General features: G+C 37.2%; 1 protein-coding gene across 9 annotated transcripts in view; it reads left to right on the top strand.

Annotated features, from left to right (window-relative positions):
* The window catches only part of DGKI (diacylglycerol kinase iota), a 465,938-nt gene that overhangs the window by 259,465 nt on the left and 189,563 nt on the right, over nt 1-16,910 (top strand). For 8 of the 9 annotated variants that reach the window (XM_047421022.1, NM_001321708.2, XM_047421021.1 and 5 more), the window contains 7 exons: nt 300-413; nt 2,164-2,301; nt 5,582-5,660; nt 9,185-9,240; nt 10,226-10,288; nt 14,672-14,745; nt 16,224-16,335. In XM_047421022.1, coding sequence (XP_047276978.1) covers nt 300-413; nt 2,164-2,301; nt 5,582-5,660; nt 9,185-9,240; nt 10,226-10,288; nt 14,672-14,745; nt 16,224-16,335 — 636 coding nt within the window. Of the gene's footprint in view, nt 1-299; nt 414-2,163; nt 2,302-5,581; nt 5,710-9,184; nt 9,241-10,225; nt 10,289-14,671; nt 14,746-16,223; nt 16,336-16,910 lie in introns of those variants that run through there. The other variant, XM_047421023.1, reaches the window with a different exon arrangement.

Here is a 16,910-nt window from a genome sequence, read left to right as displayed (position 1 = left end):
CAAAGTCTTAAACTCTGAGAAATTTACAAGGGTGTTTCTAGTTAAACGCACGCATGAATGGGTTTAGTTTTGCTTGTGTGATAGAACATGTGCAAAATGGTCCTTTTTCCTTTAACCATTTTGTAACTGCCTGTGATAAGCGACCTTTCTGTTCCCTACTCACTGAATGAAAACATACATGTTTTAAAGAAAAATAAAACCATTCTGTTTAGCTCTTGGAAGCCTCTGTTTCTCAAACTGTTTTCTTTGTAACTTATTTATCTTTCTTATATCTCTTCTGGCCCCCGATACGCCTGTAGGTGGGCTGGATCCTTTCCATCCTGGATGAACTGCAGCTGAGCCCTCAGCCTCCTGTGGGGGTCCTTCCTCTGGGGACTGGGAATGACCTGGCTCGAACTCTCAACTGGGGAGGGGTAAGAACTGCTCTCGGGGACTGCCCATATCATCAAACAACAAACCGGATTCCAGATCCACTGATGTTCTAATGGAAGAGGGGGGTACTGCTGCTGCTGTCCCAGGCATAAGTTAGAGTTGAGAATCAAAGTGCCCTTGAGCCCTTATTTGATCTGGTAGCTTCTTCAGTTTAAACTTAAAATCAGCTAGAAGGGAAAGGAAAGCTTGGTATGAGAGAAATATAGTGGTTAGTACACAGGCCTGCGGCTTTTTGAGGTATCCACTAAAAGACAGTGGGTGAGTTTGGCCTCAAGTCTGCGTGCAAAAGGATCATACAGACTTCAGTTAATCCAGACTCTCAGCCCCAGCTAGGATAGCACATCTGGTTCAACTTTACACACCTTACTTGGGAGAGTTATGACTTTTTTTTTTTAGCATTTTATTTTGTTTTGTTTTGATTAGTGTCATCAGAGCTTTGGCTGTATAGGTACTTACCTGTCCTTTCCACAATGAAGCCAACTTCAGGCAAGCTTGGGGGAAATCGTTCTGCAGTCACTAAACAGCCATTTATTTACTTACGTATGTTATAGTACTAAGATAGTAAGAAGGCGCAATATATATACACACACTGTGTATATATACATATGCATACACATATACAGCCCCACCAACTTTTTTTTTTTCTTTTTTGAGATGCAGTCTTGTTGTGTCGCCAGGCTAAAGTGCAGTGGTACGATCTCAGCTCAGTGCAACCTCTGCCTCCCAGGTTCAAGCAATTCTCCTGCCTCAACCTTCTGAGTAGCTGGGATTACAGGTGCCCGCCACCCTGTGCAGCTAATTTTTTTTGTATGTTTATTAGAGACAGGGTTTCGCCATGTTGGCCAGGCTGGTCTCAAACTCCTGACCTCGTGATCCACCAGCCTCAGCCTCCCAAAGTGCTGGGATTACAGGCTTGAGTTACTGCACCTGGTCCCCACCAACTTTTTATCTGCTCATATGAGAGCATTACATGGGCTGGGCTCTGTGAAAATTATATTCAGATATTTAGTAGATGCTAGTTGACCTTTGGGCAAATTAACCTTCCACAGGTCTTTTTTTAAAGTAGGCAGTGTAGAAATAAAAAACGTATTTACATGGGGCAACTAAGGTTATCATCAGTGTTAACTTCTCCCTTCCAAATCAGAGCCTTGCATATCCTATTGAGGACAGTCTATCGTGCTGTCAGTAATGGATCTTCAAGGATTAAGTAGCTCCCTAACAGGGCCATTCCTCAGTGAGACTTGCTTCAGGTCACGGGAAGAATGGTGTCTTCCAAGGAGGTCAGGGAGAGGTGATTGAGAGGGAGTGTTAATAGATAAGCATTGTCAATCCAATCCCTCCTTGATTCTTTCCCTGCCTCTCCAAACACATTTGTTTTGTGTTTCCCCCAAATTCCTCCAGTGAGAGCCATGGGGAGTCCTGTTTTTTACTCTGATAACAAAGTAGCCATCCAGCCTCCAGTATGACCCTTAATGTGTACCGGTGACTATTGGTTCTTGCTGCTGACAAAAAATATTCCTCAGCTCAAACCAGCCAGAACTAGTGTTTCTATGTATCTTACTTATAGTATTGTCTCAAATTCTAAGTACCTCAAGGTAAAAAATTTGCTCTTCAAACCTTGCTAATTATAAAATAAACAATATAACGGCTTGGCTCTTCCTTGCGTAAAATAGCATTGGCTTCACTGTTCTCCACTCTGGACAGCAATGGATATGTTCTCTGATTCCTCAGGGCTACACTGATGAACCTGTTTCTAAGATCCTGTGTCAAGTGGAAGATGGGACAGTTGTACAGCTAGATCGCTGGAACCTCCATGTGGAAAGAAACCCCGACTTGCCTCCAGAAGAACTTGAAGATGGCGTATGTAAGGTTAGAGAGTTTTTTGTTCTGCAGAAAGGAGCCCTGGAGCATCTGCCTGAGCTACAGGAAAAAAAATCCTGGCTGGAGAGTCATGTGCTGATGAATTCCTATGAGATAATGTGATAATATTTGAGTTGATGGCTACTGGGGCTATGTGTATAATATTACCACCTAATGATTCTGCCCCATAGACCTCTAAATACCTAGATTCCGTACCTGCTTCCAAAGCTCAGGGAGCTCTTCTCTGTCTTCAACTTCTGCACTAGAAAGGCATGTATTTTGTCTTAATCATTCATGTTAATAGCAAATAACCTATGAGAAGATGAAAAAATATGTATATTTGTAAGCATTGGGCACTTGTTCTTTCAGTAGAAATATAACCTCCTGAGATTTCTGGCCTGATATAAAATATATCTTACGTTGAAGAGGTATTAACTATGCCAGTGTTACCACTTGGGTGGGACTTGAAGATACCTCAATAAATGTTTTGACTTCATGTTATTTAAAAAAAAATTGACTTTTATTTTAGATTCAAACTGCATATGTGCAAGTTTGTTTCATGGATATATTATATGATGCTGAGGTTTGGGGTATGATTGATCCCATCACCCAGATAGTGAGCATGTTAACCAACAGGTTTTCAATCCTTGCCCCTCTCCTTCCCTCTCTACTCTAGTGGTCCCCAGTATCTATTGTTGTCATCTTTATGTCCAGACTTTATGTTTTCTTTTAGTGATTGAGCTTTTATTTCAACCGAAAAGCAAACCAAGGGATATATGAATAGTTGTAATTAGTACTGTGAGCCTTCAGTTGGTCCTTTGGTTCTAAATTATGGCCTCAATTTCAGATAAATTTGGTAGGTTTCTGAGTAGCCACTTCCCTCATATTACTTTCCATTTTCCTTCTATGATTGAATTTTTAAACTCTGTATGTGTAAGAATCTCCAGGTGTGTTTGTTAAAATGCAGATTACAAGGCCCAGTCACCAGAGATTCTGATTAAGTAAATGCAAGTTAAGGCCCAGACATCTGTACTTTAAATGGTATCCCAATTATAGTGAACCATGCCATTTATTGAGGCTAAGATTTTGTGGGTATTTCCATCTTATAATAGATTAAGCCCCATATCATTTTAGATTTAGATCAAACCAACACCCATTTATTAGCATCGTGATCCTGATCAATTTAATTACATATATTATAATTTAATAGATTTTCAAGTTTCTAACTTGGCTAAATTAGATTAAAACATGTTTTACTCTGTCTTTATGGTTTTTTCACCTAAACCATGATCCTGAAATTCTAGTAGATTTCTAGTAGATATCATGATTGCTCAGCTGAATTCAAGTTTATAATGTCACAATGTTGTTTAAACAACAAGTGTCATCTTGAGATACGAAGCTTTTTTTTAATGTGTTTGACTTATAGAAATTGGATAGAAAACAGCTAAAGTATAAAGAAGAGTACCATATGGATATTGTAAGTTTCTTTTCCTACTAAACTTGGAATAGTTAGACGTGCAATAGAAATCCATATTTAATTCTCTTTCCAACAGCTTAAGAAATGGAAAGACTTCTTGGTGTAGCCAGGGAACACCAATCCAGATAATTAAAGGGTTTATTTAAAATGGGTTTTTAAAGAGATGTATGGGAAACTGGGGCAAGTTTTCCTGGAAAATATAAATAACTTAAAAACAGACTAAATTGGGATATGATTTAGGTGATGGTGACCAGATGTTCTCCTTAGCTATCAGTAGATGTTAAGACATGGGTTAGAATTGTGGCCAAAAGAACATAAATGGTAGAGGAGGTGAACATGTCTGTGCTTTTGGCAGGATCACCAACCCATGCTGTCATTACTAAGAACTGGTATTTTGTTTAAGTGCAGGAACTGGATATTCTCAAATAAGAAGGCTGAAGAGTAAGACATGATTTTGGCATTGTTCTATGTGTTTAGTTTCTCTCTCGGTCCTTCATTTAGTGGAGACCATTTCTAAGGCTCACTTGGACTCTGAATCATTACATAGGCTTTGAATCAAGAGCTTCCATGTGGGGTCATTCCTTACTTTCATTAGAGACCAAGCCAATCCAATTTTCTTTTTTCTGCATTTATATCTGTCTTGTTCCCTCTCTTATTTCACTTTTTTCTTAATGAAAGGAAGTTCTCCTTCTAGTGAAACAGAAAATCTTGCTAATCAAGGGGCATATGAAGCACTGTAAAAAACATACTTTTGAAATCTTGAGGGTTAAAACACTTATCTCTCAGAGAAGACAGGTACAGTTCAATTTGGGACACAAACCGGATAATTAGCTGGAAACATTTCTCGTCTTTATTTACTTTAATATTTACCTTCCACTTGAGTCGCAGAAGGAAAAGCGGGAGAACCAGCCATTCCCACTCTCACATTTTCCGCATGCTTTCTTAATTGTTCTAACATTTAACTGAAGCTTAAAATCACATTAGTTTTGCAGTTTTAATGCAGGATTTGAGGCTGCAGAGTTCTCTTCATTCAGCTTGCAGTGGTAACAGCCAGAGACCCAAAGGACTCTAGGAAGGAAAGTTAAAGCTTCCATGTGTATCTGTGTGGCTGTGTTTTCAGATTTCATGGTCATAATAAAGATATAAGGGTTGATAGATTAAATGAGAACTTGAATAATAGTAATAGGTAGTTTTGTTGTTGTTTTTCTCTCTAGGCCAGCAATAACCAATGGGTCACATTGCCCTATTTTTTATATGACTTTTGTAAAAAAGATTGTGTGTGTGTGTGTATATATATATATATATAGAGAGAGAGAGAGAGAGAGAAAATGGGTGATGGATAAACAAGTTAAATATTCATTTTACATTACAGTATTGGTTTGCTGAATATAAATTCTTGAAAAACGCACATCCACTGATTAAGTTGGTTAGACATTATCTTTACAACTGGATTTACTTTCTAGGTTTGCTTAGTGAATTCTTCTCTGTAACTATTGCAAATATATATCCTTCAGCATAACAAGTTCCTATTATTACAGCATCTATAAAAATGATTCTCATTTAATAATTTGTATTTGTGACACATTTCTTATACTATTTATAATTCTTGAGAAAATTACTTGATTTTAGCTTTCACTCATGAATTAATCCAATAATTTCCTGTTCTTTCTACATAAGCACCCTCCACTTTGAGTTGTGGCTGATCTGTCTCCTAGGGACTTCTTCAGAGATAGGGGTCCAGCTTTAGGTTTTATTCTTCTCTTTCTGCCTGGCCACACAAAATTTTGCCTCTGTCTTTGTTTATCATTGCAGCTCCCTCTGAATGTTTTCAATAACTACTTCAGCCTTGGATTTGATGCCCATGTCACACTGGAGTTCCATGAATCCAGAGGTGAGGACAACGTCCCATTTCCATCTCCCAGGGAGGAAGTTTCTAGCAGGTGTTTTGCATGTTCCCTTTTGTTTGTATATCACTTACGCGTTTACAGTGTGCTTCAGTGTTGTTTCATTTTAACCTTCAGGATGACTCTGGGAGCTAGACAGGACAGGAACTTCTTATAAATGGGACCCTGAGACCTAGTTGTTCAGACAAATGGGACCCTGAGACCTAGTTGTCCAGGGTCTTAAAGACAGTAAAGGGCAGGACTAGATGTGTGTTCCAGGTCTTGGGATTGTTAATCTTTATGTTCTACTGGAAGATTTGAAGTGAGTAAAATACTAAGAAGTGATAGAGACTATTACTGAAGTCACTAGGATATTCTTTAGCTTCACAAAACACTATTAAAGTGCAATACTACACAACCACAGCCATTGAAATATGGTAGCAAAAACAAAAATGTCCCCTCTGTTTGTATAAAAGAAACAACAGGCATCTTAGAACAATAGAGGAGCTATAGGTAGTTTAGGTTGAAAGCATAGGATGTAATGGTGATGGGATTAATTAGGAAGGTACTAGGGATCCCCACTGGATGATACAGAGGTGTGAATGAGACCATGTAGTGATTTCAGGTACTAAAAGAGATGGAGTCAAGATTAGGGGAACAGAATTTTTGAAAGAGAAGATGAAATAATGATATGCTATTAAATATTTCATCAACATTTTCTCATGCCATTTAGAACTGATAAAGTTTATGGGTTTGACTTATGTTTTGTAGTCCCGATTGATCTCTCTCTCTCTCTCTTTCTGTCTCATTCTGTCTCTTAAACTCTGTTCTTATTAATATAGCTATACTATATATCCATGTCTATGCCTGTATCTATATCTGTACCTAGTGCCTTCTGAATATATATAACCAGAACCATGCTAGGATGTAGATTGTTAAGAGACTTGTGAGATAAAGTCATAAATGAGAAGTACTTTACTTTTTTCCCTCCAGGTTATGTAAGAAAGGAAGTGGTGTTTAGAATTTTTGCATACTTTGGAATTTGAAATAACAGAGCACTAAAAGCTAGAATTCAGATTTTCAGATTCTGGTAATAACATGAAAATTCTGATCATGCACTTATGCACTAGAAGTCAAGAGTGATGCTACAGGATTAAAAACCACTAGAGTATAAAATACAAGTAAGGAACAGATCTTTAAAGTCTCTTACTGGATCCAGCAATGTTAGCAGACTTTGACCTTCCTGGTTTCCCAAGGTTTTGAGAGGACAGGCTCTGTAAAGGTCAAATTCTGTGCCAAGCAGGAATGATGCTGTTTGAAGAGAAAGCCATAGTTTGGTATTCCTCTCTGATTGGCCAGAAAAATCACAGCTAGAAGGCATGATTGATAACAGAACCTCAAATATCCTGAGTCAGAAACACTACCACTTTCCGCCTCCCTGCCTTAGACAGTTCTTGGATATTAGGTATTCAGAGGGACTTACCTTGGGGCCAACATTTATGACCTGTTACCCTTCTTATATTTAAGGAGAGTTAATTTGGGAAGTACATGGGGGATTTTATTCTTCATTTCTTACCCCATTTTTTATCTCATATTCTTTAGCAGGATCCAGATCCTGGGCTTCTTAATAAAATACCCCAAACTTCTTAATAATACTTGTAAAGTAACACAATTATCACAAATACATGGATTTCCAAAAATAGGCATGAAAAGAGGTCTAAATGAATAAGTGGCCAACAATGAGCTCATTCAATGAGCTCAATGAGCTCAAGTGAGTCTCATATTTAGTCTAACTTATCCGGAAGTTTTTCTAATGATTCACTTCCTTGAACTATGATGAAGTTTCTATGCATCAGAGTGAGAAGGGAGCAGGGAGAGACCCTTACATGGGAAGACCAGGCTTAGAAGAAAATTCTTTTGGGGAAAGTGATTTTTCTCTTTTATTTTAAGCTGTAGGACTATTTTAGAGTGGAATATGCAAATTGTTGAGTGTATGAACATGTACATTTATATGTATGTGATTATAAAACAATTAGTTAAAGATGTCAAGCATTAATCTTTGTATAGTTTATTGCTAAGGCTTATTGTGTTTTGATGCAGTATGAAATGGAATTGTAAACATTTCCCCTGCATGTAAATCAGAGCCTTTGAGGAAAATCAGCCACTGAAGGGCTGTTAAGGGAGAATTTATGTTAATTGGAAATAATAGGTAAATATTCATGCAGGTGGGATAGAGGTGGTAAAAAAATTAAATAACTATAAGATATTGGAACCAGATTTTGCTGATACACTTAGACCAGAGGTATGGACTTTTCAGTAGCTGTTATTCTGCTTTTTTTAAATAGTAAATTAAAAAATTATTTGTCTATGAAATATATAATTAAGCAAATAGCCTTTTTTTCTTTCTTTTTTTTTTTTTTTACTGTTTCTGTTCATTTGTATTTTCCCCCTATTTTTAACTAGTTAGTCAAGAAATCTTAAGCTAAGCTATAGAAGAAAAAACAGGATAAGCAAGACCAGATTTTTAATTGTGGCAAGCTTACTTATTTTGTCAGTAGATAGTGAGTGGCTGTTCTCAAACCAAGAAAACTCATAGTGAGACTTTAAACTGTTTTCCAACACAGGCACTGTCTGCGGCTTCATGGATCACTTGCCATAAAATACCTAAAGGGTAACACAAAGGCTCATGAAAGCCATTGTGAAAAAAATAAGCTTGGATAGTAGAATCTATGAGGTATTAGTCAAGAAAATGTAATACTTTTAAGTTGAGAATTATGCCAATACATCTACATAAAAATAGGCAATTAATATAAATCTCATTAAAGGAGAATTTTTAAAAATTTAACTATGGAAAGAATTTTTAGCACAGATGTAAATATAGCCCATCAAATGGACACTTCTCAGCATAACTACATATATTGTATTTCTTTTAGAAGGAATAATTAAACTGGCATTAATTCCCAATTTTATATCTACTTTATTCCAAACACAAATCAAACTCAAAAACATGTTTAATTACATTTGGAAGCTGCATACATAGCTTACGGAAGTCATGCCCTATGAAAGTCAAAGTAAATAATCGCTTCTCCACCTTCTTCCACCTTTTCCTGTTATCTCAGCCCGATATCCCTGGAAACCCTCCAATTTTTACAAAGCATCTAGAGTGCCTCCATCTTTAATGTGCTTGAGAATCACCTGGAGAGCTCCCCTCCACAGATGTATAGACTCCACACTCAAGTCATTCTAATTCAGTAGATCTGGCTAGGGCCTAATCATTTGCAATTCTAACAAGCTCTCAGCTAATGTCAGTGATGCCGGTTTGGAACTACACATTTATAGTCCTGGATTACTGTCCCTGTAGCACTGGGCTACTGTACTAACTGGCCTGGAACTGGGGGAAAGATGATAACCAAACCATGGGATCTATTGGATCTGTAGGATAGGAGGGAGCTGGGGAGGAAGTAGGAGTGCTAATCTAAGTCGCTACCTTTAGTGAGGTCTCCATAACAAAACTACTTTTCCTCTTTCACAGAAGCAAATCCAGAGAAATTCAACAGTCGTTTTCGAAATAAAATGTTCTATGCAGGGGTAGGTATACATTTTATTTCATAATTACTACATATTACTTATTGCCAATTCACTGTGTATCATAAAGTTGCAAACTACATGAGAAATAATCACATATACATCTCATTTATATATGTCTATCTATGGTTACTGTTTCATGGCTGGGCTTAAGAATGAAAGTGAGGTGTATTTCTTAAGTTAGCTGTCAGAAAGAGAGTTGGTGTTCCTCATCTCTGAGCTTTTAAGCAAGCCCCGAGGCTTCATGTTGAACAAGAGAAGATGCTATTCAAAAAGGGATGTGAGAAACAAACATCAAAGCCAGTGTAAGAAATGGAGGAATTGTGTAGACTGAGGATGTCTGAAGAATTTTAGGTAAGAACGTAGTTTTCACCAGGGTGCGCACATTGACGTTTGGATTAGAAACTGGCAGAATATGGGGTGTTTTTCATGGACGCATACGTGAGGTTAAAGGGAGTGCCTTCTTTTTCCTTCTTTTGTTTCTCAGGCACGTTCATAGTAGTAAATAGAGAATGAAAAAAAGGCATCCAAAATATCAGTACAGTTTAAATTTATGCCAATCGATAGGAGGAGTTTAAATAAAAGGCGTTTGGGAGCTGCATACGTAGTTTATGGAAGTCAAACCCTGTGAAACTCAGAGCAAATAAGGAAATCTTAGTGGAAAGACTGTATCAGCACTTAATGGACAAGGCAAGTGTTCAGAAAAGGTTGTCAAAATAAACCTTCCAATGACCCTCAGAATTGTCTATTTTTCACTCTCATTCTGTGTTCTTAAATTTATAGTGAAACTGTAAATTATAGTTTGGAAACAAAGAGAAAAATTTCAACTTGACAACTACTGCACTGCTTTACTTTGGATTCTGCAGAAAGAGAACATGTTTAGAATTTTTGCATACTTTGGAATCCTTGGAATCTAGGATATGGAAGCAAGGATTTGGTATCACCATGTAATTACGAATTTCTTCTTCTTTATTTCCCTGTGGTATAGGCAGCTTTTTCTGACTTCCTACAGAGAAGTTCTAGAGATCTATCCAAACATGTTAAAGTTGTTGTAAGTATTGAATATGTTGATTTATTTAATTTGAATATGATATGACTGCCACAAAAAACTCCCAAATACTTAGTTTATATATTGAATCACTGGACTGCATAGAACTTTGGAGATCATTTTGTGTAGTTCATTCAACCTACACTTATTATGTGTCAGGCACTGTCTTAGTTGCTGGGGATGAAGATAAATGAAAAGACTAGTTTCGCTCCTGAAGAAACTCACAGTTCAGTTTTGAAGAAGGTCACATAAGTCACTTCAGAACAATAAAACTGTTATTCAACCGTGTGTATAATATGGTTGTGGCACAAAGGGAGAAGTGATAACTCTGACTATGGTGGGGTCAGGAAGACCTTTATAAAAAAAAATGATGTTAGCTGGGTCTTGAAGCATAAATCGGTACTCTCCAAACAAGTATCTTTATTCCAGGATAATCTGAGGAGGATATTTATTCCAGGATAATCTCCATTTTAGAACGAAGTGTTGATTTCATTATTTTGTGGTGACTCACTCTCCCACCTGGTCAAGGTTCCTCACCACTAGATGGATTTTTTGTGTATGTGCTGTTTCTTCCTGGGTCTCTATATCAGGTTGCGGAAATATACTGCTTGGGGGCAAGGGAGAGAGAAATTTATCTTTCTCAAGGTGACACATTCAAAAATAGAATAAAATTAGGTATTAAGAAAAACATTAATGTTTCCTTATAGTAAACAAGTTAAAAGAAGGAAGGAACATGACTTTGTTGCACATAGTCGTATAAGTAAATGACAGAATGAGAAAGAGAAAAAAGATATATAGATGGAAAAGAAGTGATGAGAATATAGCAATGTTTGAATTTATCAATGCTTGAATTTATCTTATTCTAAAGAATAAGAATAATTTTGATGGGCCAGGCGCGGTGGCTCATGCCTGTAATCCTAGCTCTTTGGGAGGCCGAGGCAGCTGGATTGCCTGAGCTCAGGAGTTCGAGAGCAGCCTGGGCAAAATGGTGAAATCCCATCTCTATCAAAATACAAAAAATTAGGCAGGCGTGGTGGCATGTGCCTGTAGTCCCAGCTACTCGGGAGGCTGAGGCAGGAGATTGCTTGAACCTGGGAGGCAGAGGTTGCAGTGAGCCGAGACCGCACCACTGCACTCCAGCCTGGGCGACAGAGCAACACTCCGTCTAAAAAAAAAAAAAAGAAAAAGAAAAAGATTAATTTTGACAAGAGAGAACAGAACAAAATATATACATGAAAATAGAGAAAAATATATGATCTTAAGCTAATGAGATATGAAGAAATATAAGGAGCATGAAAATATAAAAATTAAAATGTGTAATCACCAGTAAAGCATGTATAAGACATGAATCTCCTAAATCAGTTGAAACAAGAGACAAAGGCCTTTACCGCTGCTATTAGCAACACTTGGCATCCCTTTCAGATGTTTCAGTTCTCATACAATAAAAATATAAAGCAAGTATCTTTTAGTGGTGGAGACGCTTGAGACTGAAATATTGCCTTCTTAAAGCTAGATACAAGAACACAGGGCCCATTGAACTATGAGGATTATTATTTCAATAAAATCGTGGCTATTAAATTTAAGTAGCAGCAACCTTACATTAAACTTCCCCTGTTTCTTCAGCTGCCTGCAGCCTAGCAAAAATTAAACTTTACTGCCCTTTCCAGTGTGTTTTGCATTTACAGGCGCATCCACAGTACCTGCCAGGAGACCCAGTGCATGCTGGGTGGTGGCCATATAGAATGGCAGTGTACTGTGCAAGTCACCGGATTGATATCAAACTCTGTAACTTCCTAACTGCTAGAGAGTTTTCTCTCTCATATCTCAGTCCCCTTGATGATACATGTCTCATGCATGGGTGACTTTATAGTAGAGTCTAAAAGATGCTTGCAGAGAGGCCAAAATGGCAGCAAATAACTAGGAAAGATGTGATATCAGCCTATATATGTAATATTAAAGGTGGAATGTTTATATAAATTATATCTTATGAGGAGGAAAAAAATCATTATAACTAGGTGTAAACATTTGGGATTTAGTTAGGTCTACCTTTGCTAGGTATATGACTTTGGGGAAATCATTTAACCTTTCAGAGGAGTTTGCTTTCTTCATCTGTCAAATAGGTGTAACAAGACATGTCTTTGATGCAATGGTTTTTGACCATTGTGCTGTGACATAGAGAGACACAAGGATACTTTTGCAATGACATCATTCTATGTTTTCCTGAGTGTGAGATGAAAAGGATGGAAGGTTAGTGAGAGTGATTAGATGTCTCCCCAACAACAGAGCATCTTTTCTTTGTCAGAGGGTGAAGTCAGTGTTTCTAATGCAATAGCTAGTAATGTCTCATAGAGATATAAAATATGTATTTGAATATTAGACTGAGAAAATACAAAATGACAGTAAAAACCTACATATAGCCATTATTTGTTCCACTTTCCATATTTTCTTCTTGTTATTTATCAGTATATGAGCTTATACAAAGGAACATATTTTGGATGCAAATATGTCCCTTTGTGTGTATTTGAAGTTGGGAAAAAGTTGAAAACTGCTATTCTAAAGGAATTGCACAGTTTATTGCAATAATATATAAAAAAATCTCTGTAAAGCAGTATACAGTGTAAGGCCCACATTTTCGTATGATTTGATGAGTTCCCAGAATCACTAACATGTTTCCCAGAAGGAAAAAGTAGAAAGTTAAAAAATGAATTCTGTTCTAAATACAATAATATTTATTATAATCTTTCTGCAATGCAACCATAATGCTTTATACACTATTAATATATCACATCCTAGGTTTTAAGTTTTAGTTGCTTATAACATGCAATTTTGACATTTACAATGTCTACTTTTTTATTCATTGGCATAGTCATTTATAACTCATTTCAAGTTCTTAAGTAAGTTGGAAGATGTTTGCTTAGTAGTTGAGAGTACTAGAAAAACATCTTTAATGTCTAGAATTTTATTACTAAGTTATATTTGAAAATAATTTGTTTATTTAAAATTGTAAGATTTCTTGGAAACAATTCTTTGAGAATACTCATGAAAATTAGGCTGTATGGAGATCGACTGGGAAAAAAAATGCAGGTGCTGGAGACAACCTGACCACTAGCAAAATCATTATACTTAGATTGAAACTGATCCTAAAGAACTCTTTCAGAATTTGCAGGGAGCTTGGGGATGCTTTGCTCCTCTCTCCAAATGAGAAGGTAATGGGGAAATCCTGTGATAAGGGTATAAGGAAAGCAAATACGAGAGCAGGCTTTACGCCTTTGACATCGGAAAGTCTATAGTCATGACTAGAGTTATTCTCTTTTGACTTTTGTCACCAGTGGGAAATGAGAAAGGAACATGAAAGACTTTTCCTTGATTTATCAAAGGATGATACCCTTGCAGAAAGCGCTAGCAGATCAGGGAAGCCATCCATGTTCGAGGGTTGTTGAGGCCAAGCTAGGCTGAGACCCTTGATTCCCAGGTCTAAATTCCAGGAAGACAGTGAATCTTAGAAGTCTAAAGTCTGAATGGCCAGGCGCAGTGGCTCACGCCTATAATCCCAGCACTTTGTGAGGCCAAGGCGGGTGGATGACCTGAGGTCAGGAGTTCAAGACCAGTCTGGCCAACATGGTGAAACCCCGTCTCTACTAAAAATACAAAAATTAGCTGGGCGTGGTGGCGGGCACCTGTAATCCCAGCTACTTGGGAGGCTGAGGCAGGAGAATCGCTTGAACCTGGCAGGCTGAGGTTGCAGTGAGCTGAGATCACGCCATTGCACTTCGGCCTGGGTGAGTCTGTACAAGATTAAGTTTCTAAGAACAAACCACGAATGAAGATAATACTACTGTATGATAGATATCTTTTCAAAAGTTTGCGGTACATAGACTTTTTAAAAAGTCTTCAAAATATTTGACATTTGCAAAATAAAAATTGTCTCAAAAAACGAAGAAAATAAATCATTATATTTGTGACTTGTTTGAATCAGATAATGATGGTGGTGAATACTACTGCTTTAACTTGAGGCTTTTTTCTTTTCATTCTTTTAAGTGTTCATAAATCTTTTAATGTTGACACCATCAGTCTAGATAACTAATAATCATCCATTGTTAAGAATGATAATATTTCCTTTGATTGTGAGACCAGAGAAGAAATCATTTTAATCAAATGGAGGTTTTGTTCTTACCTTAAGTGCGAACAAAACCAACCTCTGTACCCTGGGTCCAGTAAAGCTATAACCAGAATATATTTTTAATCACTGTGACCGGCATTCACTTAAGCAGAGATAGGGCAAGGAGAAAGAGACCATGGTGTGTACTATTGTCAAACTAGTTATCTTTCATAGGTTTTTAGACTTGTGACTACTTCAAAACCCCTTTTCTGTTTTCATTGTTTCAGTGTGATGGAACAGATCTCACCCCAAAGATTCAGGAACTGAAGTTCCAGTGTATAGTATTTTTAAATATACCCAGGTAGGCTCTGTTTGTATTGTTTCCTTGGTTTGACGTGAACTCTGACTTGAGGTTATCTGTTTTCATAACAGAAAAGTTTCAGATGTAAACAATGAAGATCAGTTATCTAAATGGGTAATTAAAGATTTCTAGGTCTGATAATTCATTCTCCGATTTGGTTTATTTAGTGTTCTTTGTGGTTGGTGGTTTTGTGCGTCATGTGGCATGCATTGTCTGTACTTACCCATCTTTAAGAAACCCAGGCACCCCTCTTGACTGGAACATCTTAATTTATTTCTAAATTACTGTTCTTCCCCTCTTCCTCCCCATCTAAGAATGAGAGAATTGAAACACTTTTTTTGTTCTCAGTTTCCTAAAAACTGTTGAAAAACCATCCAGTCTGATTCAAGTGCGGAATTCATTCAAAATTGTTGCCAGATGATTTCTTTGAAAAATAGGATGAGTTAGAGTATTGTTTTCTAGCCAGGATGTCAACTCTCCATGGTGCTATTACGCACTTCAGGAGAAAGGGATATTTAAGATAACTAGACTCAAAATAAACATATTATCTCAGTGGCATAAATTATGTTCTAGGCCCTGAAGCCAAGATTTTGGAAGGGATGGATCTATAACCATTTATTTGCCTGCCAAACAACTCAGACACAAAATCTGCAAATACATTGTATTTAGACTGAATTTAATTGAAATGAGAGTTGTATGTAAATCTGTGGCTAGGAAAACACATCATAGTCTCCTGATTATTCTTGGCAGTGCTCAATATAGTCAGTTACAATTTTATTCCAGAAATATTTACAGCTTAATTGAAGTAGAAGGCCTTGATTCTCAGAAAGCATTGTTTATTACTTTGCTTTATTATTCTTTCTCTTGTCCTTCCTCTCTTGTCCTTCTTCCTCTCTTGTCCTTCTTCTGTCTTTTCTTGCTTCTCCCTCTTTCCATCTGTATTCTTCTTCCTCTATTTCTCCAATTTCTTCTGTTTCCCATTCTCTTTCTAATCTCTTATCTATATTTCATCTCTTCTTCACTCTGTCTTCCATAGTTACCTTTCCCTTCTCCTGTGAGTACCTCTTATTTTGCTTATGTATTAATGGCAAATGCTTCCCACTTCATTTCCCTGTCTCTTTTCTACTGGCATGCATACATCTTCCTTTAAGACCAAATTCTGAAACCACCTATAGATAATTCATGATATATCATAGAAAACAGACATACATGAATCATAGTGAGAAATATAGATAACGAACGAGGAGAAAGTTGGATACCACAGGATACTTTTGTTGCAAAATTATGGCCCGTTTTCACAGCTTGGTATTTTGTAGATGATAAGAAGTGCATTTCCTTTTCTAATGGAAGGTGTGTACCAAGAATGGAAAACTGTTTTTATGTTTGATAAACATTGGGTCTAACTACAAACTAACACCTCATGATAGTCATGAGAAGGATGGGACATATTTACTTCTGTCTTTAATCTTCTCTTGCAGATATTGTGCTGGCACAATGCCCTGGGGAAACCCAGGTGATCACCATGATTTCGAACCTCAGCGTCATGATGATGGTTATATTGAAGTCATTGGATTTACCATGGCCTCTTTGGTGAGCAATATAACTGTTTTATTAAAATGAAATGTATTTTAGTCACAGAGTTTATTCAATTCACAGGACTTTAGTTAACTTTTTCTCCTGCTTTATCAAGTTACACATTTTATGAATTATAGAGTTGCTTAGGAAAAACAAGAAAAAAAATCATCATTTATGTCACTAAGAAAACTGATGCACATTTGTTTGAACCTCAAGAATAAATGAGTATCACTTCTTACTTTTCCTGATTAATTTTCTAACAGAATGAAAAGTTTTTATGCTAATTAAAAACATTACACTGGGCTGGGTGCAGTGGCTCATGCCTGTAATCCCAGCACTTTGGGAGGCCGAGGTGGGTGGATCAACTGAGGTCAGGAGTTCCAGAAGAGCCTGACCAACATGGTGAAACCTGCCTCTACTAAAACTACAAAAATTAGCTGGGTATGATGTGCTGCCTGTAATTCCAGCTACTTGGGAGGCTGATGCAGGATAATTGCTTGAACACAGGAGGCAAAGGTTGCAGTGAGCTGAAATTGTGCCACTGCACTCCAGCCTGGGTGACGAGTGAAACTGCATCTCAAAAAAAAAAA

This window comes from Homo sapiens, chromosome 7, assembly GCF_000001405.40.
Source record: "Homo sapiens chromosome 7, GRCh38.p14 Primary Assembly".
Lineage (NCBI taxonomy): Eukaryota > Metazoa > Chordata > Mammalia > Primates > Hominidae > Homo > Homo sapiens.
The sequence above is the reverse complement of the archived record's forward strand: the minus strand, read 5'-3'. Positions and strand labels throughout refer to the sequence as shown.